The sequence below is a fragment of the Homo sapiens genome, chromosome 13 (assembly GCF_000001405.40).
Source record: "Homo sapiens chromosome 13, GRCh38.p14 Primary Assembly".
NCBI classification, from domain to species: domain Eukaryota; kingdom Metazoa; phylum Chordata; class Mammalia; order Primates; family Hominidae; genus Homo; species Homo sapiens.
Window position 1 is genome coordinate 75,629,083 of NC_000013.11, and position 23,717 is coordinate 75,652,799.

General features: G+C 42.9%; 1 protein-coding gene and 1 long non-coding RNA gene across 8 annotated transcripts in view, besides 4 other annotated features; one reads left to right on the plus strand and one right to left on the minus strand.

Moving 5' to 3' along the window:
- LMO7-AS1 (LMO7 antisense RNA 1) overlaps positions 1–6,912 on the minus strand; it is a 31,295-nt gene extending 24,383 nt beyond the window's left edge. For all 3 annotated transcript variants that reach the window (NR_120412.1, NR_120411.1, NR_120410.1), the window contains exon 1: positions 6,747–6,912. This is a non-coding gene — a long non-coding RNA (LMO7 antisense RNA 1). The remainder of the gene's footprint in view (positions 1–6,746) is intronic.
- LMO7 (LIM domain 7) overlaps positions 1–23,717 on the plus strand; it is a 239,437-nt gene that overhangs the window by 8,649 nt on the left and 207,071 nt on the right. The window contains exon 1 of one of the 5 annotated variants that reach the window (XM_047430352.1): positions 6,785–6,808. The exons of 3 other annotated variants lie outside the window; for them this stretch is intronic. Coding sequence is in view for 1 of the 2 variants with exons in the window: in NM_001306080.2 (NP_001293009.1) it covers positions 7,576–7,644 (69 nt within the window). In the remaining variant the exon portion in view is untranslated. Of the gene's footprint in view, positions 1–6,784; positions 6,809–7,247; positions 7,645–23,717 lie in introns of those variants that run through there. One more of the 5 variants, NM_001306080.2, reaches the window with a different exon arrangement.
- Positions 6,641–7,330: a silencer, noted in NCBI's record as "silent region_5403". NCBI's record gives its function as "represses an Ori minimal core promoter by ATAC-STARR-seq in GM12878 lymphoblastoid cells {active_cell/tissue: GM12878}" and the evidence as "EXISTENCE:reporter gene assay evidence [ECO:0000049][PMID:35858748]".
- Positions 7,361–7,410: a silencer, noted in NCBI's record as "silent region_5404". NCBI's record gives its function as "represses an Ori minimal core promoter by ATAC-STARR-seq in GM12878 lymphoblastoid cells {active_cell/tissue: GM12878}" and the evidence as "EXISTENCE:reporter gene assay evidence [ECO:0000049][PMID:35858748]".
- Positions 7,481–7,620: a silencer, noted in NCBI's record as "silent region_5405". NCBI's record gives its function as "represses an Ori minimal core promoter by ATAC-STARR-seq in GM12878 lymphoblastoid cells {active_cell/tissue: GM12878}" and the evidence as "EXISTENCE:reporter gene assay evidence [ECO:0000049][PMID:35858748]".
- Positions 17,565–17,614: an enhancer, noted in NCBI's record as "active region_7834". NCBI's record gives its function as "activates an Ori minimal core promoter by ATAC-STARR-seq in GM12878 lymphoblastoid cells {active_cell/tissue: GM12878}" and the evidence as "EXISTENCE:reporter gene assay evidence [ECO:0000049][PMID:35858748]".

The following is a 23,717-nucleotide window of genomic DNA, read 5'->3' on the forward strand; positions in this document are numbered from 1 at the left end:
AGGGATCCTGCTAAACATCCTATGATGCACAGGACAATCCTCCTAACAAAGAATTATCCGACCCAGATTGTCAATTGCCTTTCTGTTGAGAGACCCTCCTGTAAGGAAATTCTTGTATCAGTGGCACTAAGCAATCATATTTTCTACTCTGCTGTTATCAATGCTTTATTAATTCTGTACATTAAGTTATAGGTTTTACATATACACACTCCAGTTAATAAACAGTTGTTGAATACTAGATATGTGTCAGGCACCAAGCCAGGCACTCTTAAATTGCTTATGGTTCAGTGAGGAAAAGAGGCAATATAATACCTTGTGAAAGGGGCTATGATTGCATAAAGAAGATATGCCTCACCTCGCTCAGGAGGATCTGCTAAGCTTTTTGATTTCTGAGAAGGAAGAGGCCTGAATTGAGCCTGGAAGAATAGGTAAGAGAAAGCAAGGCAAAGGAAGGGAGAGAAACACATTTCTGGAAAAGGGAGAAGCACAGGTCAAGTCGTGGTTAGAGAAGCAGGAAGGAGCAGATCCTGAAGGACACCACTTAATGTGCTGGCAATTGTCAGATGGTTTTTAAAGGCCACTGGGAGTCCTTTAAAGAGGGGTTAATTGGGGCAGGAGTGGGGAGTGTGTTGGTGGTTTAAGAGTTAGATTTCAAGAAGGTCATCACTGTTTCTGAAATCTAGCTGAGCGCTAATGAGAGACTTAACTAAGGTAGTAGAAATAAAATTGACAAGACAGGGAATGGGGTTGGCATGAGAGACCAAAAAGTCGTGCATGACCCTCAAATTTTAGGCATGGTACCATTTACCAAATCAGGAAAGGCAGGAGGGGATTGAAGGTTGTGGGATGAGGTAGAAGTCAGATTTGGACATACTGTCATCCCTCAGGATTTGGGGGAATTTGTTCTAGGACCCCTGTTCATACGAAAACCTACAGATTCTCAAGTCCCTCATATAAAATGATATAGTATTTGCATAAAACCTACACAGTCTTCCCATATACTTTAAATCATCTTTAGATTACTCATATTACCTAATACAATGTAAATACTATGTAGTTATACTGTGTTTTTTAACATTTGTGTTATTTTTAATTGTTGTAATTTTTCATTGTTTCCCTTACTCCCTACACCCAGATCCATAGTTGGTTGAATCTGCAGATATAGAACCTGTAGATATGGAAACCCAGTTTTATTTTTGTATCATACAGATTTTCTCATTTATAAAAGTAATATACATGTCTTTTGTAAAAACACTTGGAAAAAAGAGAGAAGTACAAAATCTCCACTTGGAAATAGCCACTGTTGGCAGCTGGGCACAGTGGCTCACGCCTGTAATCCCAACACTTTGGTAGGCTGAGGCGGGTGGATTGCTTGAGTTCAGGAGTTTGCAATCAGCCTGGGTAACATGATGAAACACCGTCTCTACAAAAAATACAAAAATTACACCAGGCATGGTGGCATGCATCTGTAGTCCCAGGTACTCGGGAGGCTGAGGTGGGAGGATCACTTGAGCTCGGGAGGCTGAGGTTGAAATGAGTGCCACTGCATTCCAGCCTGGGTGACAGAGTGAGACCCTGTCTCAAAAAACAAAACAAAACAAACAAAAAAGAAATAGCCACTGTTAAAAGTTCAGTGATGTTTTTCCCAAATTGTTCTATGTGGCCAAAATTAAACATTTAAAAAATACAAACCCAGATAAGGTGCTTTATACACTGCCTGTTTTCTTTTTTCTTTTTTTCTTTTTGTATTTTTAGTAGAGATGGAGTTTCGCCATGTTGGCCCAGCTGGTTTCGAACTCCTGACCTCAGGTGATCCACCTGCCTTGGCCTCCCAAAGTGCTGGGATTACAGGCGTGAGCCACCGTGCCTGGCCTGCCTTTTTTCACTTTGCAATATATTTTAACTCTTTCCCTGTGCCACTGAATGTCCTTTTACTTTTTATTATTATTATTATTATTTTTTGAGACAGAATCTCTCTCTGTTGCCCAGGCTGGAGTGCAGTCGTGCAATCTTGGCTCACTGCAACCTCTGCTTTCCGGGTTCAAGCAATTCTTAGGCCTCAGCCTGCCAAGTGGCTGGGATTACAGGCACGTGCCACCATGCCCAGCTAATTTTTGTATTTTTAGTAGGGGTTTCACCATGTTACCCAGGCTGGTCTTGAACTGCCGAGCTTGAGCAATCTACCCGCCTTGGCCTCCCAAAGTGCTGGGATTACAGGTGTGAGCCACCGCAACTGGCCTCCTTTTACATTCTTAATGACTGCACAATATCTCACTATGGAGGAACCATAATTTACTCCATCATCTCTATTGTTGGGGGTTTTGGTAGCTTTGGGATTCTCATTCTTAACATGTCATGCTTGATGCCATCACAGGTTGAGTCTTTAGAAGCTGACAGAAATGGCATTGGAGGTATAAGATATTAACTAGGGCTGGATCCCTGTGAAAGGAAGAGGGAAGAAGCAGGGGTGGGTGAGGGAGGTGAACTGTGGTACAGTCCTGCAGCCTCAGCAGACCCCAGGGTCTACTGTAAAGGCCTATCAGTGTTGTCCCATTGGGTGGAAATGGCTGGGCTTTTATAATCTTAAGTCATTCACTGACCAGATGAGGGCTGTCCTGGGAGGGGAAGGACCTCACGTGAGGCTGCACTCTGCAGCTGAGGCCAACTTTGAAGGAGCTGATAGCTGGGGGTATCTGTTGACCACACTCTCCAAGGCTGGGCAGCAAGTAGCAAGTCCTCCTGTGAAGCAAGTCCTCATATGACACTCCTATGGGGCATCTCTGTGTCTACCGCCGTTACTCATTCTGTGCATATATGTTTGCTTAGGTCCTTGGTATAAATTCCAAGAAGTGGAATTGCTGGGACAGAGTGTGGGCATTTGAAAAACTTTTTATATTTATTGCCCAGTGACCTCCCAGAAAGATTGTACCCCTTTCTCCCATCAAGAGTTCATCAGTAATGCATCAATACATGACAATTGTACTGTTTTACATTTTTAAATATTGAAAGGTATCTCAAATTCCTTTGAAAAATAAATACAAATTTTGATGTTTTATTGTTGTGAATTTCATCTCAAACTCCTAAGGCAGGTGCTGTACCTTTCTCTATAGAGCTGTAGAAATCTTTCCAGAAGGGTAAAACATTCTAATGACTGATATTAGGAGGCAAAGAATTATATTTGGGTCTTCTGAGTTGCAAACTTTCAACATTAAAGAGGCCAAGCAGTGATTGGTGCCTGAGCTGACTTGAAACAGGATTTGCAAAACCCTCCAGCCTTTCCATATAACTATTTGAACAAATACATGAAATCTCCATTTTTTAGGAAAAATCTGACACACTGTTAGAAAGAGAGACCAAAGGGAAATAACCTTCAACCTTCATTTATTGAGTGCCTACTCTATGCTAAGCAATGCCTTGGGCTTTTATATCCACCATCATATTTAATTCTCACAACAATCCTTTGAAGTATTATCCATTATTCAGATGAAGAAATTGAAGCTTAGTGATTCTGGTAGCTTGCTAATATTGTAAGGCATTCAGATCCCCAAGGCTGTGCACTTCTTAACATTCTGGGCTGCCGCCCCCAAAGCTAGTTACACAGCAGCAGCTTTAAATAGTGTAATGTATGTATATATTAACTCTAATAATAATAATTCTTGTGAAGCTTGCAGAATGTCCTACTGGACTGAATAGTGCATAGGATTCAGCATCTAGAATTTTAAAATTTTGTGTCACTTATAACATCTAGCACATATGAGGTATTCACTAATTACTTAAAAGTTTTTTTTTTTTTTTTGTGATGGAGTCTCGTTCTGTTGCCCAGGCTGGAGTGCAGTGCCGTGGTCTCGGCTCACTTCAACCTCTGCCCTCCTGGGTTCAAGTGATTCTCCTGCCTCAGCCTCCCAAGTAGCTAGAATTACAGGTGGCTGCCACCACACCTAGCTAACTTTTTTTGTATTTTTAGTAGAGACCGGGTTTCACCATGTCGGCCAGGCTGGTCTTGAACTCCTGGCTTAGTGACCCGCCCGCCTCGGCCTCCCAAAGCGCTGGGATTACAGGTGTGAGCCACTGTGCCTCGCCGCACTTAAAAGTTTTTGAATAGCCGACAAGAGAGAAATATCTTTCCATTTTCTTTCATCATTCCATTTTCTTTTGGGGTTTGGCCTGATCAGAGTGCAGCCAAGAGGCAAAGAGATGGTTCAGTCAGTGGCCTCCCTTTCAGCAGGAACAGTTGTATTCCTGAAGCTTGCTCATCAGCTTTTCTAAACGGACCCACAGACTAGAGATAGTGCCAATAAAAAGTAGTTGAACAAAAATGAGCCTAACAAACAAAAACCATCACCCCAGTACGGAAGAATGTGGGTGGTGAACTGTTTACTCAGAAGAGATAGGTTCCAATCTAGCTTTTAGAGCTAACTTCCAGAGCACAGGAAGTACAGAAAGAAGAGAAATATGTTGAAGACACCACAAAGAAGCCTAAGATAAATCCAGAAGACAGCCTGGTTTTTTCAATAAGGCAATGTCATTCCAAAAAAAGGGGGAGTGTGGAGGAGGAGGAGTCTCTTTTGGGTTAAAAAAAGATGTGCTAAAATGCAATGGGTGGTCATGGATTGGATCCTGGTCTGAGTAAGTCAGCTGTAAAAGACATTTTTGGGTCAGTTGGAAGAATTTGATATGAGTTGATAATTATTGTTAGTTTTAGTTAGGTGTGAAAATAGCATTATGTTTATTTATGTTTATGTAGGAACGTGTCTTTTCCTTTTTTTTTTTTTTTTTTTTTTTTTGAGACGGAGTCTCGCTCTGTCCCCAGGCTGGAGTGCAGTGGTGTGATCCTGGCTTACTGCACCCTCTGACTCCCTGGTTCAAGCGATTCTCCTGCCTCAGGCTCCCAAATAGTGCCACCACGTCCAGCTAATTTTTTTTTTTTTTTGGATTTTTAGTAGAGACAGGGTTTCACCATGTTGTCCAGGATGATCTCAAACTCCTGACCTTGTGATCCACCCGCCTCTGCCTCCCAAAGTGGGAGAGTGTCCTTTTAAAAATGATATGTATATTGTACCATTTAGGGGTGAAATCTCCTATCTTTAAAACTCTCCACCAGGCTCAGCACTTTGGGAGGCCAAGGCAGGAGGACTGCTTGAGGTCAGAGTTTGAGACCATCCTGGACAACATAGTGAGACCCCTCTCTCTACAAAAAATACAGAAATTAGCTGGGTGTGGTGTCACTTGCCTGTAGTCGCAGCTACTTGGGAGTCTGAGGCAAGAGGATCGCTTGAGCCCAGGAGTTCAAGGTCACGGGGAGCTATGATGGCGCAACTGCACTCCAGCCTAGGCAACAGAGCTGTCTCTTAAAAAACTTAAAAAACAAACAAGAACGGCTGGGGGCGGTGGCTCACGCCTGTAATCAAAGCACTTTGGGAGGACGAGGCAGGCGGATCACGAGGTCAGGACATCGAGACCATCCTGGCTAACACGGTGAAACCTCGTCTCTACTAAAAAAATACAAAAAAATTAGCCAGGCGTGGTGACGGGCGCCTGTAGTCCCAGCTACTCGAGAGGCTGAGGCAGGAGAATGGCGTGGACCCGGGAGGCGGAGCTTGCAGTGAGCCGAGATTGCACCACTGCACTCCAGCCTGGGCGACAGAGCGAGACTCCTCAAAAACAAACAAACAAACAAGAACTTTGGGAGGCCGAGGTGGGTGGATCACCTGAGGTCAGTTCGAGACCAGCCTGGCCAATATGGTGAAACCCCGTCTCTACTAAAAATATAAAAACTAGCTGGGCATGGTGGTGGGCGCCTGTAATCCCAGCTGCTCGAGAGGCTAAGGCAAGAGAATTGCTTGAACCCAGGAGACGGAGGTTGCAGTGAGCCGACACGGTGCTACTGCACTCCAGCCTCGGCAACAGTGAGACTCCATCTCAAAACAAAACAAAACAAAACAAAACAAAACAAAACAAAAACAAACAGAAAGTAAATACAATTTAAAAAATTAAAAAATAAAACCCTCCAGCAGAAAAGGTGATACATAAGGCAAAAGGCAAACAGTTGTTAAATACAGACGCTAGGTTTTAGATAGTATTCTACTAGTCTCTGCTCTGTATCTGACGTTTTTCTTCATAAAAACAACCAGAAAAATAAGAACAAGAGTTTGCTTTCGTTTCAGCAGAGTAAGAACCGGTCTTTGTCTTCCGCCAAAGATGAAGCCATCAACCTGTGGCCTGGATAGTGCCTCAGGAGCGTGGAGTGAGGGACCAGGGAGCTCAGACAGATGAGTAGGCTCCTTTGTGGAGACCTGATTTGAGCACTGGTGTGAAAAAGACCCGCGCAAGCCGACCCGTGTGCCTCCCGCCCCGCCCCCAACCCCCCGGCCCTGCACACCTACCCAGGGCCGCGGCGGATACCGCATAACCTGCCACCTCGCTGTCCCCTGAGTGTCCTCAAACCACGAAGGGTGGGAATTTTGACGCTCACCGCGAGGGCGATCATCAAACGGCCTAAACTGGGCTGAGCGGGCGGGAAGTGGGGAATGCAAGGAACCCTCCAGCTTGCTCGAACCCTCAGCCGCGAGCCGGGGTGGAGGGGCAGGGACCCTCCTTCCACCGCACCCACCTGGAAGCCGGGCGGAGCGGGGCCGAACTCCGCCGGGGGGAAGCGGCAGCACGTGCCAAGGCCACGACCCTCCTCTGCCGCCGGGAGGGCCCGGCCGCCGCAGGGGGCGGGGAGCGTGGGAGGGGACGGCGCTCACCTGGCGGCTGGGCCGGATCGCGGCGGGAGAGCGGGTAGCGGGCTCAGCTGGCCGGGGCTCAGGTGAGGGCGGCGGGCCGCGCTCCCCAGCGGGGGAGGTTTCTTGGCCGGGAAAGGTACAATTGTGTGCAGCTATTTCTGGTATGTCAAGCGGGCCGGGCGGCCGCGAGCCGGGAGGGGCGCCGCTCTCAGGGGCCCGGGAGAGGGCAGGGGCCAGGCGGGCGGGTGCGGGAAGGATGCGGGCGCGGGGGCGCATCCTCTCGGGGCGGAGCCGCGGGCTGTGCGGGAACCCCAGCGGGGCCCGGGCCGCGGCCCCTGGCGGACTGTGGCATCTCCCGGGCCAGACAGTCTGACCACAGAGGCGGCCGCGGCCGGGAGCCCGGGGAGCCAAGGGAGGGGCAGACGGAAGCGGCGACTCGGCGGGCCCCGGGAGGGCGGTGGGGTGGGCCGGGGCGGGGCCACCGCGGGGAGGACGGCGGCGGCGCTGCGACTTTTGAAGTCCAAACTGTCGTCGGGGCTGGTGCCGCGCGCTGCCGCTGGGCACCCGCTTCGCTTCCCGCGTCCTGCCTGACTGCCCGGGTCCCCGCGGGCCTTGGGTCGCTTTCAGGAGTTTAGAGAAAGCCAGGTCTTCACGTTCGTGTAGGTTCGAGACCTTAACGAACTGCAGAGCGCAACAAAGGGAACTAGAGCCCCGGCGCCTTCGCAGCCGGAGCGGAAGCCGGAGTTGTGGGAGGCCCGCGTGCCCTCCCCGCCCGTGGGGCCCAGACGCGCGGGGACAACCCCTCCCCTCCACGCATCCCGAGTCTCTCTCTCCCTCCCTTGTCCTAGCCATGGAAGGGCTGGAGGAGGCAGAGGCCAACTGCTCCGTGGCGTTCGCTGAGGCTCAGAGATGGGTGGAGGTGAGTGCCTTTCACTGCTTTCCCTTCCGCAGGTGTTGACTGCCTCGGGGCGGTCGTCGCGAGGTGACTGCAGCCCCAGTCACTCTGCACTTTAGCCTCCTTCGGCGACCCAGCCGACGTGAACAAGCTGGTTTGCTTGTGCACTTTTGGGGACTCTGCGGGTTCTGCCGCTCCTGCATCTTATGTCCCGCTTAGATTGGCGCTGCCCTAACCCCCGCCCCCCGACGGTGTCACTGGCTTCCTAGGGCAGAGGTGGGCGTTCGCCTGCCGGCATCGCGCGTCCCGGAGGAGCAGCGCAGTCCGCCCTGGCTCGCCCGGGGCGTCTCTGCGGGGCACAGCCCAGAGCGCGCGGTGCAGAGCTGGGCCAGGGCTCTCGGGTGCATTCCCTCGGGGTGCCTAGAAGTGGGGATGCTCACCTTATACCTGAGAAGCCAGTGTATTCAGTGTGGAGGGGGGGAGCGGAAAAGAAGGGTGGGTGGGAGGGCAGGTGGAGGAGGTAACACACCGAAGGCCCACCTGGAAGGATGATTTCTCTGGGGCCGCATCCAAGCCCAGGGGGTAGGGGCCGGGGCATGTGCTTTTTCATTTTCGGCTTTGATGAGACTGAGATCCTAGGATCATTCGCTGAAGAGCTGTTACCCTCCCAGCTGTGCCTCACAGACAAGATCTTCCATTCCCTTCTTTCACCCTGAAAAAGAGCGGGTCTCTTCATTAACGCCTTGGGGCTACATTTATCTGTAGAAGGTTAACATCAGGACTTCTAGCCGTTATTCCACTGGACGCAAAAGATGACTTTTAAAACGAGGCAAAAGTCTTCCAAGCAGATGTGAATCAGGAACAACTGCTGAAAATTGAGGCGTGCACAAGCCCTGCAGTCATTTAGGAGTTATTGATGCCACGTGCTGGTTTAGTTAACATATTTAAAACTTCGAATTAGGCTTAAAGATTATTCCACGGAAAAAACTACATGTTTAAGAATTCCAAAGCGAACGATACTTGAAAATAATGTATTTTTCCTTAAAGAAATACATGTATGTGTGTGGAAAGAAAGAATAAATTACATTTCTTACGCTAAATAAAGGAATGTGAAATGTGAGTAGCATTAACCACGGGACAGTAGGGAGGTCTAAGGAATGAGCTTTTAGTGTCTTTTTAGATTGAAACTTTGAGCTGGTCTGAAGGTGACTTAGAAAGATGTGAAGGGAGGGGCATGGGAAGTTGAGAGAAGAATAAACGCTGTATTTTGAATTGAAATGAGAGTGGAAAAATTCCAGCAATATAGTTAAGAGAAATAACTTCCCTCATTCATAAACTTTGAAAAGCCAAGACTTCCAACTGTAATTTTCCATTAGCAGTGTGTGTTCTGCATAATTTTAGAAAACAAACTTGCCATTTTGTGTTTGAGTGTTGGGGATTGAAGGAGGGAGAAGGGGAGACGTGGGGACATGTTTTGGTCATACATGGCTTCTGTGTGGAGTTTGCATCTGCGTGCTTTGTATTTGCTTCAGGAAACATGAATAGGAATGATTCCACACCCTTCCCTTTTTTTTTAGTATGCACATTTTGGAAAACGATGAATTCCTTTTTTGTCCCTGCTTGCTCATAATTATGTAGGTTTTCTCCAAGAAATTTGTATGTAATGAATGGGGGGAAAGTGTATTGTGATAAAAGATATCATTGCGCATATTACATGTGGTCTGTTTTCACTCTCATCGCAGTCTATGTAAAGGTGTTTATCAGCAATGATTTGGCACCTCTATAATGTATTTTGTTCATCGTTAGCAGAGAGCTGGATCTTCCTAAAGGTACTGTCATATCCTTTTAATATAGTTAATGAAATTAAAATTTTTTTTCATCCCACTTGGAACAAGGCAGTATGTTTGCCTTCATTGTGTATATATGAGTAATTTACATGTTCAGATACTTTTAGTATACTCTGGGCATTTGAAATGACCACAGTGTGCTCACTGTTAGGGCTATTTTGTTTCTCCAGTGTCCACATCTATCTCTCTTGTCAGCTTTGCCTTTGCCACCAAAGCACATATTTTAAAATATTGTTCTTGCCAAAAGAAGCAGGATGAATGACTCTGTCATCATCACAACCTCTTTAAGAACCCCTAATCTGAAGATAAAAGGTTGATTCCAATGTGTATTTGTAAAGTATTCTTTCCCCTGCTTGCTGATAGTCTTGCTACATTTTGCCCTATTCCTTTACACATTACTGAAATATAGGAGGGTTTTTAAGTGTATATATTGTATATGTATGTACATATATACATATGTATTATAATATATGTTCTATCTGTATTACATATATATTCGCAACTGCAGCTTTGAATACCCCAAAGTCAACTCCAATAACCTTGTAAAGTTTTGAATGATGACTGGACTCCATGTCAGCATCTCCTTGTCATTTCCATTTTCTATCTGTGATTTTTAGTAGCTAATGTGTTATTCTCACAACCAAAGTTTATTTTTTAGAGTGGAGGAGGAAGAGTGAGGTAAGAGCTAGTGGTTATTATTCTGCCAATTATGATCACTTTATGAATCTTGTTTTTACTTATTTCAAATTGTACTTATATACTTGAGTATATATAAAAATTGGTGTGTCTACTCATGCTAATTTTGCAATTCAAAGCAAATGTAGGAAAGCTACCCTTTAAGATCGCTCAACATAATGATATTGGATTATTACATAGTTGGAAAGGCTGTTTGATACATTAATAATGTAGCAGGGCTGGTTTATGATTAAACACTGGTTTAAAACCAAGTAATGGTTTCAAGGCAAAGGCAGAGGAGAAGCTTGATTCTAGCAAGGCTACGCAGTGGCTGATGAAGTGGTGGAAAATACAGCCTGGACTCTAATTTTAGGCCTCTTCTGCAGTACCTTTTAATTTTCTATGCCTAATAGTTGCCTTTGTCTCTCTGTTGTGGGTCATCCGAAAGCCATGTGGTAAACAGACAAAATACTAATGAGATTGAAACTGGGGTATGTAGCACTTTGCATTGGTTGGTCAGTTTTTTAGTCTGTAAGTTAATGTTGCTCTCTAGATTGAGGTTCAAATACAATAGTAATTTTTATGGCTGGAGCAGAACAGGCTAACTTAATTCACCACCTTTCTGCTCACCTGCCCTTCCTGTTATCTCTGGATTGGATTTTTTCAGTATTGCTGTCACCCTGTAAGGGATGCCAACCTGAGCTCATTGCCAAGTCTGGCACTAGAATATGAGTCCTTCCTCACTTCTAATTGGTCTGTTTCTCCACCTGCCCCAAGTTTTATCCTTCGGGGATGTGCTGTTCACCACCTTTTAACTTTTTTGCCTTTGGTGCTAATGGAAGTATTTTTAGTAATTATATATAATTTCAATCAACAGATATTAAGACACTATGGTAAATATTTGTTAAAAATTGTAGTGTTACAAAGCAATTCTTATGCTAGCTGCAGCAGCTAGCATAAGAATTGCTTTGTAATACAATTTTTAACAAAGATTTACCATAGTGATTACAGGTGTGAGCCACCGCACCTGGCCTGGGCTCTGCTATTTAAATCCTGTAGGTCTCAGTTTTTTCCTCTTAATCTCCCCTGGTAGTTGTACCAGTTAAATGGATGCTGATGGTAGAGCAACAAATGCTCCCTAATCCATTGCTTGTGTTTCTCCTTGCACAGAATGCAGTTTTGTCACCTCCATGTTTTCGTATGAATGGAATACTTGTTATTCCTTGTAACCTAGTGAACACCTCTTCATTCTTCCATACTTGAGCTAAAATCAACCTTTATGTGAAGCCTTCCCAAAATCGCCAAACCTCCAGCCCCACCCATTCCTTTCTCTCCTGTCTTACATAAATCTCTCTTTTTGCATTGTGTGGTTCTATTCGTTTTTCTATATTAGTCTATGAGCTAACTGAGGGCAGGAATCGTATCTTATTTATTGCTTGAGTGTTTGGCATGGTGCCTGCTAAATGCTTGTTGAATAAAAGTACAAATAAAGTTATAGCTTTAACAACATTAAAAAATAGGATTTTAAGGACCAGAACTCATTTCTTCTTCCAGCAGAAACTTGCTTCAGTGTCTTAAGCTTTATTGGTTGCAGTTGTTTGGTTGGAACCTGCTACAGGATGTGTCTTCATCTGCATGCCAGTGTGTACTTGTTTATTTACTTAGCATTTCCTCTTCTGCCTCAACCCTCTTCCCGAGTCACCTTACTCTACTGCCGTCCACTTGATGATTTCCCTCATGGGGACTTACATTTAGTCATCTCAAAAATACCTACTATGTGCCTACTGTGTGCCAGAAACTTGACGGGTTTATAGATTCAGTCACCAAATTCTTAGCCCTTACCTGGACCTTCAAAGAGAGGCAGCCTCCATGAAAAGCAGATGTGCAGACAAACCCAGCAGTGCCATCAGGTACTGAAGTTCATCCGGTGCATCGTGATGGCATTGAGGAGGCAGCCTGAGTCCACCTGGTCAGTCAGGGCAAGCACACAGAGAAGGCAGCATTTGAGCCGAGGCTGCAGTGGGGTTAACCCATCTGCCCACTAGGCTGGAACATTTTGGCCTTTTTTAACTTGTCGTGTGTGAAATCTTGAAGTTGCAGACAGCATAGCTTCCAGAAGTTGCTCAGAGTAATTTATTCTTACTGAAGTACCTTACTGAGGTAACGTTTTACCTGCAGTGAAATGCACTGATTTTAAGTATACCATTGTAGGAGTTTTGTCAGACCTATATGCCCAAGTCACCAGAACCCAATCAAGATACAGAATGCTTTTTATCACTCAAGAGAGTTCCTTCCAGAGAGCACATTAATCTCCATTTCTTTGGTAAGCATCCACTCTTTGATTTCTAGTACTATGGATTTCTCAAGGTAGGTTTGAATGGCCAAGAAATGTCTTAATGCCTATTTGTTTCTTTTTTCCTCTCACTTTTTCTTTTACTTTTGTTTTCTGAGACAGGAACTCACTCTGTTGCCCAGGCTGGAGTGCAGTGCTGTGATCTTGGCTCACTGCAACCTTCGCCTCCTGGATTTAAGTGATTCTCCTGTCTCAGCCTCCCGAGTAGCTGGGAGTGTACCACCATGCCTGGCTAACTTTTGTATTTCTTTTTTTTTTTTTTGGTAGAGACAGGGTTTCACTGTATTGCTCAGGCTGGTCTCAAACTCCTGGCCTCAAGTGATCTGCCAGCCTTGGCCTCCTAAAGTGCTGGGATTACAGGGCGTGAGCCACCACACCCGGCCCCATTTTTTTCTTTATGCAGTGTTTTATAATTTCTTGAACACAGCATCTTTATATGGGAAATAAGAAAGGATCCTAGAAAAGAGAGGGGTGGCAAGAGATGAGGGAATTAATGAAGTCCTCTTGGGAAGGAACTGATTTACACAAATAGGAACCAGGGCAGGAATGCCGTTAGAATAGCCTGACTCCAGGAAGTGTAAACAGATATGTCAAAGTATTTCCTGAGGAACTGGGAGGGTTCCAGTGCAGTGTCAATCATTCTGGATTCTTCCAACGTACTGATGCACTGAAAGCTAGAAATGGACTTCTTTCATAAAGTGAGGAAAAATACAAAGAACTTGTACCTTTAGTAAAACAGGGTGTCAGCCAGACATGGTGGCTCATGCCTGTAATCCCAGCACTTTGGGAGGCTAAGGAGGGAGGATGGCTTGAGGCCAGGAATTTAAGACCAGCCTAGTCAACATAGCAAGACCCCATCTCTACCAAAAAAAAAAAAAAAAAAAAAAAGGTGGCACACACCTGCATTCTTGGCTGCTTGGGAGGCTGAGGTGGGAGGATCGCCTGAGTCTGGGCAGTTGAGGTTGTGGTGAGCCGTAACTGTGCCACTGCACTCCAGCCTGGGTGACAGAGTAAGACTCTATCTTTAAAAAGTAAATAAATAAATAAATAAATAGAGTATTCTTGAACCAGTTAGAGAAGTGGACCCACTGGGTGAAAAAAACGGTTCTTGATACACATTATAAAGATACCCTCTAAAACCTTTGTGGCAGTTTGCAGAATGAGCAGGGGTTGAGGGCACCATTTTCTCCACATTCTGGCCCAAATTAGAAATTGTTATTTGTATTTTCCCTCTAAATGAACAGATGAAAGACATGTTGTCCTATTTTTTCTCAGATTATTAGTGATATTAAACATTTATGTAACAAATGACCCATTGGGTTTCCTCCAGTGAGGAAGGATGAAGCTGAGAAAAGGAGGGTTCTATTTCCTCTTAAGCCACAAAAGGTTCAATGAAGTCACAATTGGCCCTTGCGAAGAAGCCTTGAAACCTTGGTGTTTCTTAAGCCATTTGTAAAGCACAAATCCTTAAAACTTCTCCTAGGCTTAGAGAAAGAGGAATGGTGTCCTGGATTGGACCCCAGGGAGTATGCCGATTTATTCAATCTGTGTTGGTTCTTGTCTTTCGGTGCATTGCTCTAGCTCTCTTTCTCTCTGGATGCCGAGAGTGCTTTGGGTAGTGAGGGACTGCTGTTGAGACTAAACACTCCTTCACCTTCCCTCTTCCTGTTAAGACTGGTTCTCAACATACCAGCATTTGAGTTATAGAAACACACTAGCTTTGTGAATGCTAGTTAAGAAAAGCAAAGTGACATCAACATATTTGCCCAATCCTTTTAGTTTGGAAGAAATACACCTTGCAGGTGAACTCGTTCTTCTAGTTAGCATCTGCTGATTGAGTTGTTTATGTTGTTCCTGTTCCCCAGAGTTCCTGACAGAATGTTCCCAAATACTTGTTGAATGAATGAATGTTTTGTGTCCAATAAAAAGGTTGGCCTATTTAATTGATGTTTCCAGATCTCCTTAAGCCTGTTAACTATCAAAAATGTGTTAGAGCCTGAGGAAATGAGGAATTATGCATACCTGTACTTAACTCTTTAGTTTCAGAAGGTATTAAATAATTATTGGTTGTATATCTTTGAAAACATGTTTGATGTAGTCAAAGCTCTTAATAGGGATAATAGCTGTCATATATGCACAACTTTGAAACAGAGGTTTAACACATTCAATCTGTGGCTTTGCTTAAAGAGATGGACAATAGCAAGTTCTACTCTGGTGAATTACAGCACAGTCCCATGAACAGCCTTTCCAAAGATTATGAAATACCCCAGTAGTATGCTCAAAGACTGGTTCTCATTACTGGGTACAGAATGCTCAGTTTGGTGCTTGAGTGCATTTTTATGTTGGTATACAGCACCTGACCCTCTGTCTGTCTTCAAGCATAATGGGGATTGTCATGTAGGAGAGATTAGGAAATTTTTGTATGGATTCAGAGGGCAGAACTGGTAATAACTGGTCACAGTGAGACTTTTGACTCAGTATTCTGAAGATCTTTCTATGAATATAGCAGTGCCCTACACTACATGAGCTGACTTGAATAGCGAGTTACCTGCTAGTGAAGTGTTTTTTTTTTAAGAGAAGCTGAAAAAATGACAATAAAAGCAGCTAGTATTCTTGAATTTCTACCACATGCATGACATGTGGCAAGTGCATTATACCCACATATCTTATAATGGACTATTCTTACTGAGGATGTTCTTTTCCAATGAGGGAAAAGAGGGGTGAGAGGTAAAATAATTTACTCAAGGAAACACTAGAAGTAGTAAATGCTGGCTGAGGATCCGAATGCCCACAGCCTGCCATCTTAGTCATTATACTCTGCTGCCTGGGAGTGGCGCTGGCCAGGTAGTTCATCATTGTTAAGGAATTAAGAATCAGAAAAGAATGGGCTCTCCGTCCTTGTTCCACCTAAAGCTGTAAGATTAGCTATTTTTTGTACATGACAAATCCTATACAACTTCCGCTCACCAGCACAAGTTATTTCTTGTGATGTTAGTGCCGTATTAGTACATGATCATCAAATATATGTAAGTTACAGAATTGCCAACAGATATATTTTTTTCTTTTTTAGAGACAGGGTCTTGCTCTGTTGCCCAGGCTGGAGTGCAGTGGTATGATCATAGCTCACTGCAGCCTTGAACTCCCGTGCTCAAGCTGTCTTCCTGCCTCAGCCTCTGGAACAGCTGGGAGACTATAGGCACACACCACCACACCCAGATAATTTAAAAATTTTGTTGTAGGGACAAGGTCTCGCTTTGTTTCCTAAGCTGGCCTTGAACTCCTGGCTTCAAGCGATCCTCCCACCTTGGCCTCCCAACCTGTTGGGATTACAGGTGTGAGCCACCATGCCCAGCCAGATGGACACTGTTGAGCAATTGCCGACTTTAGGTTTATATATTTGAATGTATGTTAGTGATTGTTAATGTTCAATAAACCATTTAAAGTGTTAAAAAAGGAAACATTTTAATATAACATTGAGTTATACTTTGAGCTAGAATAGGAAATAGATATCTAAGTAGTTTCTTCTATAATTTATAAAAGTATCATCTTCTCTCATGTGACCTACATTTCTGTAGTTCGTGCATACCAGAAATTGTACAGATGGTTATTGTATAGTGCTTCAAAAATACATGTCATGTTTTTGATTAGGATACTTTTTAGTTAGTGTTTTAGGCTTGTTAGTACCAAAGCTGGGACCCTGATAAAATTTTTTTGCCTCCTTGACTAGATTGAAATTTGATCTAGATGTGTGAACAGGGAAAGAAATATCTGAGTTATTTTGTTATACCACCATTTCATAACATTCAAAGGAAGGGAGGTCATTGCCAGTCTCATTATAAACTTTCATTCTGGCTTGACCCAGAAGTTTGAGGCTGCGGTGAGCTATGATTGTACCACTGCACTCTAGCCTGTATGACAGAGCGAGACCCTATCTCAAAAATAAATAAATAAATAAAATTAAATAAATAAAGGAAGTTCATTGTGGAATTAGTTTTTCTCATGAGATTTAATGTTTTAATGTTTTTCATTTTACATGAAGAAGGGGACAATAAGCAAACGTATTGCCTCTGGACCAGTATCAAATGCATTTGGAATTTACCCTGTGTTATGAAGAAAATATTGTCAGTCTATCAAAAGCATCAGATAGAGTTGGTGATGACTTCCTTCTCAAACCCTTCATTGCCCTCTAGGTTTTTCTTCCATTTCACTTGGTGTTTCTAATTTTTCTGTGCTCAGTCCTCCTAATTATTGTTCATCAGTGAATGTTAGAACATCCAAGGACTCATCTTCCATGTCTTCTTTTCTTTGCCTACAGTATCTTTCTAGCAGATGTTATCAAGTTCATATATCTTCTCCACGCTGATTGCTTCCATATTTACATTCCTGACCCTGACCTTGTCCCTAAATTTTAGTAACTACTTGAGATTTCCCACTGTAGGTCTGATAAGCATGTCACGCTCAGTGGGTTCTAAGCAAAACTCTTAGTACTACCCCTTTCCCACCCCTTCCTAATCATCTCCTCATCTCTCCAATGTTTCTATCTTAGCAAATGGCATCATTGTTCAGCCAGTTGCTCAGGCTTCCAAATTTGAAGTCATTATTGACTCTTGTTCTTTTTTAACATCATACCACACATCCAATCTGTGAAGAAATCCAACAGGCTATATCTTCAAATGGATCCAGAATCTGACCACCTCTTGCCACATCCACCATCACCTTTCACCTATGCTGTTGCAGTAGCCTGGACTCCTTGCTTCCAAAATAGCAGCAAGATTCCTCTTTAAAAGTGTAAGTCAGAGATTATACATCCGACTCTGCGCCCTCCTCCCCTGACAATGGCTTTCCATTACATTAAGAATAAAGTCTGAATTTTTAAGGCAGTCTCTAGGGCCCCATATGATCTGTTCCCGGCTTGCCTATCTCATCTCCACCCCCACTCTTCGACTTGCTTACTGTGCTCATACTGGCTTCCAGCTGTTACTCAGATGTAGAGAGAACTTTTTTTTTTTTTTTTTTAATTTTTGAGATGGAGTTTCACTCTTGTTGCCCAAGGTGGAGTGCAATGGCACGATCTCGGCTCATGGCAACCTCCACCTCCCAGGTTCAAGCGATTCTCCTGCCTCAGCCTCCCAAGTAGCTGGGATTACAGGCATGTGCCACCACACCCGGCTGATTTTTTGTATTTTTAGTAGAGACAGGGTTTTTTCATGTTGATCAGGCTGGTCTCTAACTCTCGACCTCAGGTGATATGTGTGCCTCAGCCTCCCAAAGTGCTGGGATTACAGGTGTGAGCCACCATGCCTGGCCTGGGTTTTATCTTAAGGTCTTTGTGTTGCTGTTCCATCTGCATGAATACATTTTCTTCATTTACTTACGTCTTAGCTTAAATGATACCTCCTCTTCTTTCCTACTGCCATTATCTTCCCTTGTCACTCCATACTCAGATTTCATTGCATTTATTATCACTTGCCTCTGCATTATATACATAGGTGTGTGTGTGTGTGTGTGTCTATGTGTATTTGTTTTTGTTTATTCCGCTATTTCCGCTAGAATATAAGTGCCTTATGTACAAGGACTTATTTTGTTTTCAAGTCGTGAATAGTGCCAAGTATTTACTAGACACTCAATAAATATTCCTGGGAAAAGTAAGTGGATGAATGAACAAATACCTTTTAATTCTTTATACTTGAAATCTTTTTAGCCCTGTGACATGACTAACTTCTTGGTTATGCTTCACTCAACAAGAGATGTTGGTTTTGTTGTATTAGTTGGGTTTTCCCCTGCTTTTTCAAGTTCTGTTCTAGACTGAGCAAGTTTTGAACATGTTTTTTTGAAAAAAGCAACTTTAAACCATGCCAAATTTACTTTATTTAACCAATTCTAAAGAAGCCTGAAAGTAAGCAAGTATCATAAAAGAAAGTCCAAGCAAATTTGAAGATGAGCCTTTTCAGCTGAATACCCTGTGCCAGGGGATAATACATCATCATGAAACTTTGGGGTGTTATTCATGAAAAAGATTTCACAACTCACTGATTGAGTTGTGTCCTGCAGTTTGAGCATGGTCTGTATTCATAATTGGAGACAGAGAAGCAGAAAATAGCTTTACCCTGTTTAGAAATAAAAAAAAATAGAAACTTTATTGAGAACAGGAAAGTTTCTATCATCTGCTTCAACTTAAACATCAGAGGCCCATCTCATGCTTTGAAAGGGTTGCACTTTATACCAGTTTTTTAATGGAATTATTCTGAAATGGCACACAAAACTGAGGGTGGAGGCTTTCAAAAGGATTTTGTTCAGAAGTGAAGGGAAAAGGGAAGCTGAAGCTCCTGATCTGATTTTGTCCAAACTGATTTTCTCTTGTTTTCTTTTCTTTCTTTTTTTTTTTTTTTTTTGAGACAGGGTCTCCACCCAGGCTGGAGTATAGTGGTGCAGCAATCATAGCTGACTACAGGCTTGAATTCCTGGGCTCAACTGATCCTCCTGTCTGAGCCTCCTGAGTAGCTGGGGCTATCGGTGCACCACCACACTTTGTTAATTTTTAAAATTTTTTTGTAGAGACAGGGTCTTGCCATGTTGCCTAGGATGGTCTTGAACTCCTGGCCTTCAGCGATCCTCCCACTTTGGTGTCTGAAAGTGTTGGGATTGCAGGCGTGGGCCACTGCTCCCAGCCTAACTTGTTTTTTATGATTGTTTCTAGCTGTTACTTGAATTAAAAGGTATTATTATTTTTAAAAATCATTTTATATAATATATGTATTTTTGCAGATGAGAAAAGAGAGGTTCAGAGAAGTTAAGTTTCTTCCCAACACCATGCAGCTGAAGCCGGCAGGCCCAGTATTTGAACTTAGATCTGTCTCATAGAAAAATCAAGCTCTCAACCCCTTCATTCATCTTCCTCTGTTTCTCACCCTCCCTTACATAGCCCTGCCTGTTGTTTGGCATGTACACATCCTGTTGTGCTATTGGCTGTTCCATATATCTGCCTCCGTCTTACTCATTTTCTTGTTTCACAATGTTAAAAAGCATAGAAAAGTGATTGGACTTAATATGGCATGTAGTGTAAATTCACACGGAAGTGTAAGTAGATACTATTAAATAACTTTCTTGTGTTGGGATGGGACAGGGCCTTAGAGACAGTGTGTGTGGTGAGGAAGGGAACAATAGAGCACTTGTCAATCTATCAAAAGCATCAGAAAGAGATGGTGATAACTTCCCTCTCAAAACATTTCCTTCATTGCCCTCTGGGTTTTTCTCCTGTTTTACTTGGTGTGAAGTACCTTCTGGGTACTTGTCCTGTCAGGGAGGAAACAGCTATGGGGCAGCATAGGAATAAGTGCAGACATGGTGGACAGCAAAGCTACAGGAAGCTTGAGAATGGGAAAAGCATTTGGGAACTATTAGAGAAGGTCCTTCTTGACCTGAATCAGAAAGTTGATGCGTGGGAGGTAACATGGAAGTCTTTCAAGTTGGGTAGGGGTGGTGTGGGCATGAGCAAGGATTCGTTGAATTGTTCTGTGGGCAGGACAGTGAAGCTAGTAGTCTACTTAGTATGGAAGGTGCTGATCTGAAGGTAGTAAGAATTACAAGACCTAAGACCAAATACTGGATATCGATTTTGATTTTTTAAAAATGTCCCATCAGATGATGTTAGAATCTGTTTTACAGAATGGGTCAGTGGAGGGGAATGACCATATTGCATATCAGAGGATTAAGGATTGAACTTTGGAAAATGTCTTCTGTTAGGAGGACAGGAAGAGAAAGGGGCGGTGATGGTCAAAAAGCTAGTAGAAAACTAGGAATGTGTTAGAGATCTTAAGGGAAGCACTGATTTTATGAAAGATAAGTAGAGAGAGTAGGATTATGAATAGTGTTCCGGACTAGAAGTGATCAAGGGAAAAGAAAATGGGAGTAAGACCATTAAACTTGGCAACAGAGTAATCTATCACGTGTTGAAAGTATAGATTTGTTGAAAGTATAGATTTGGAGTGTTGGTGTGGGAGCCAAACCAAGCTTGGTAAAGTTTTAGTGTAGAGGGGCAGGTACTCCATGAAGGAAGAGGTCAGAAGAGCTATCCAAGAAATCAACATTCTCTCAAAGATGCTATTTATTTGTATTTACAAAATCATTCCCTACTGTCAGCTTACCTACCTTCTTGGATACATATTAGAGGTAGAAGCCCTTAATATCTAAGGAAATTATATTCTGAGACAACCAATCTGAAAGACTCATTATCATCTGCTATATAAAATACTAAAGTTGATGTACACTGCTCTGTTTTAGAAACACTTGATCCACTGAAGATTGTTTGGGGAGGTCACTTCAGTATTCTTCTGAGATTATTTCTCCTTTCAAAATAGGGGAAAATATCTCTTATGTCCCCAGGGTTTTAGTTCACAATACTTTAGTGGAGATATTTTGTTTTTAAAATTTTATGTTTTTTGTAGAGATGGGGTTTTACCATGTTGCCCAGGCTGGTCTCAAGTAGTCCTCCCACTTTGGCCTCCCAAAGTGCTGGGGTTACAGGCATGAACTACTGTGCCTGGCCACATTTTTTTCTTTTTCTTTTTTTTTGAGATGGAGTCTCGCTCTGTCGCCAGGTTGGAGTGCAGTGGCGTGAGCTAGGCTCACTGCAACCTCCACCTCTTGGGTTCAAGCGATTCTCCTGCCTCAGCCTCCTGAGTAGCTGGGACTACAGGTGCACGCTACCATGCCTAGCTAATTTTTGTATTTTTAGTAGAGACAGGGTTTCACCATGTTGGCCAGGATGGTCTTGATCTCTTGACCTCAAGATCTGCCCGCCTCAGCCTCCCAAAGTGCTGGGATTACAGGCGTGAGTCATTGTACCTGGCCCGTTTTTTTTTCTTAATGATACTTCATCCTGCTCTCCCCAGAGATCCTTGTGCTCATGTTTGCACTTCTTTGCTATTCTTTCTTGTCAGTGGATTTCTAATAAAATCTAAGGCTAGTTGACTTGACTGAAATGTTTTATATTGAAGGAAAAAAATTTCCTGTGTATTGCACTGTCGAAAACATGGTCATATGTTCTTGGACTCAATTCCCTTACTTTTAGCTACTATCTATGTGAATTTTCAGATTAGAATTGGTTTATAGATTGCATGTATTAAGTTTCTTCTTTTCAAATAAATTGATTTTTTTGTCTCTATACAGTAATGTTTATGGCTTTGTCTCAGCTATTAATTGTTCTTTATGTACTTTTCTTTCTTTAAATTACTTTTTGTATTTTTCCTGTATGTCTTTGGGTCATCTTACTAATTTAGGTCTTCTGCTGTATTTAGTTTGGAGGAGTCAACTTTAAGATCTTTCCAAGAAGAACATTTTCTGATGTCTTATTAAAAATGAGCCCAATGAGCTATTTTAGAAAAGAAAAGCTTTTATAGTTTCCATGAAGAAAAGAAATGCATTTTGTTTTATTCGAAGGATAAAATTTATAAAACTGCCTGTTTTAAAGCCAATTTGCAAACATTTTTAGACTTGGAAAATGCTTGTAAGTCTTGAAAGGTATAACTTGCCAAATAGCTGATACTTTTGAAGTTTGGCCTTAGTTCTGGTAAAAGAATGTGGTTGACAGCCACACTACAATTTACAGTAATGCTTTTTATGTAAGGAAATTAATGTACTTGGCTTAATAAATTCCAGATGAGTTTCTTGCTCCTTGATTATTACCAAGTTATTTAAAATTCATGTTTCGTTATTCAGTTTAGTGTGGTTTCCTTTTTTTTTTTTTTTTCTGAGACAGAGTCTCACTTTGTCACCCAGACTGGAGTGCAGTGCCATGATCTCAGCTCACTGTGACTTCCGCCTCCAGGATTCAAGTGATTCTCCTGCCTCAGCCTCCCGAGTGGCTGGGACTACAGGCACGTGCCACCATGCCTGGCTAATTTTTGTATTTTTAGTAGAGACGGGGTTTCACTTTGTTGACCAGCCTGGTCTTGAACTCCTGACCTCAGGTGATCCACCTGCCTCAGCCGATCCACCTGTCTCAGCCTCCCAAAGTGCTGGGATTACAGGCGTGAGCCATCACTCCCAGCCTCGTTATTCAGTTTAGTTACAGCAACCATATCTGTACTTGTACTTCGTAGAACTGAAACACTTTTGGGGAAAATGGCTTTTTTGGTGGGTCATTTTGCGGTACAAGCTTATGATGTGGCCAGTGCCTCCACATTTGACCTTGTCTGGGACTAAAAGATGTCAAGCATCCTCTGCTTGTGGCTAGTCCAGGTCTTAAAGGAGATCAAGTTCAAGACCCTTATGGAAGTTCTGGCAGTGCCATAAAGGATAACTTTCTTGAAAGCCCACCTAAATATTTCTACTTACTTGTCATTGGTTACCCTATCTGTAAGGGAGTCTAAAAAAAGTTTTTAGCAGAGTGTGTCACTGCCTCCAACAATATGGGTCATCTATTACGAAGGAAGAAGAGATTGATAATGTTCAATTGTATCTGCCACATTTACTTTCTGACTGTTCCCTTTTCATAGTATTTTGCTTTTTTATGATTGCAATATATTGTTTTAGCTCCCTGAGGATATTATAATATTATAGTTTTTTTTTTCTTCCTGAATTGTCTCTGTTTCTTCCAAGTTCCTTTAATTTTCCCTTTTGGCTTCGGTCTCTTTTAAGTTGGAAACTTCTTTTAAACTTCTGGTAGATCCTTGTCCAACTGCTTTCTGGATTCTCAACCAATCTCTATATCTAGCCATGTTCCTTACTACCTTTCCCTACCCATAGGACCTGTTGCCCCTAGATGCTGAGAATTTTCCAAGGAAACTTGCATGCTTTGCTACTTAGTGTCCCTTTGCAGGTCTTGAAGTTTAAACTTCCTTCATTCTCTGCAGTCAGGTACCAGTCCTCCATCTACTTTCCATCTTCCAAAAGTTTGTGCAATGTTTTCTTCTACTGTTTTCTCTTTTCTGAGTCTCTTTGCTCTTGTGGGTTATTGACTTAAATTCATGCTGCCACTTTGGGAGGCAGTAAAGACAGAAATGCATAGCCAGTTCATTGTGTTTAACCACAAGTTCAGTGTGTGTGTGTGTGTGTGTGTGTGTGTGTGTGTGTGTGTGTGTATTTATTTTTAGGTGCACATCATAGAAGAGTAGAAAGCCATGGATTGATTGAAGGTTACAATTATTGCCAATGCAGAATTTCACACAAGTAAAATGCTGCTTTATTAAACTTAAAAAAACCTCACTTTATTATAAAATTGA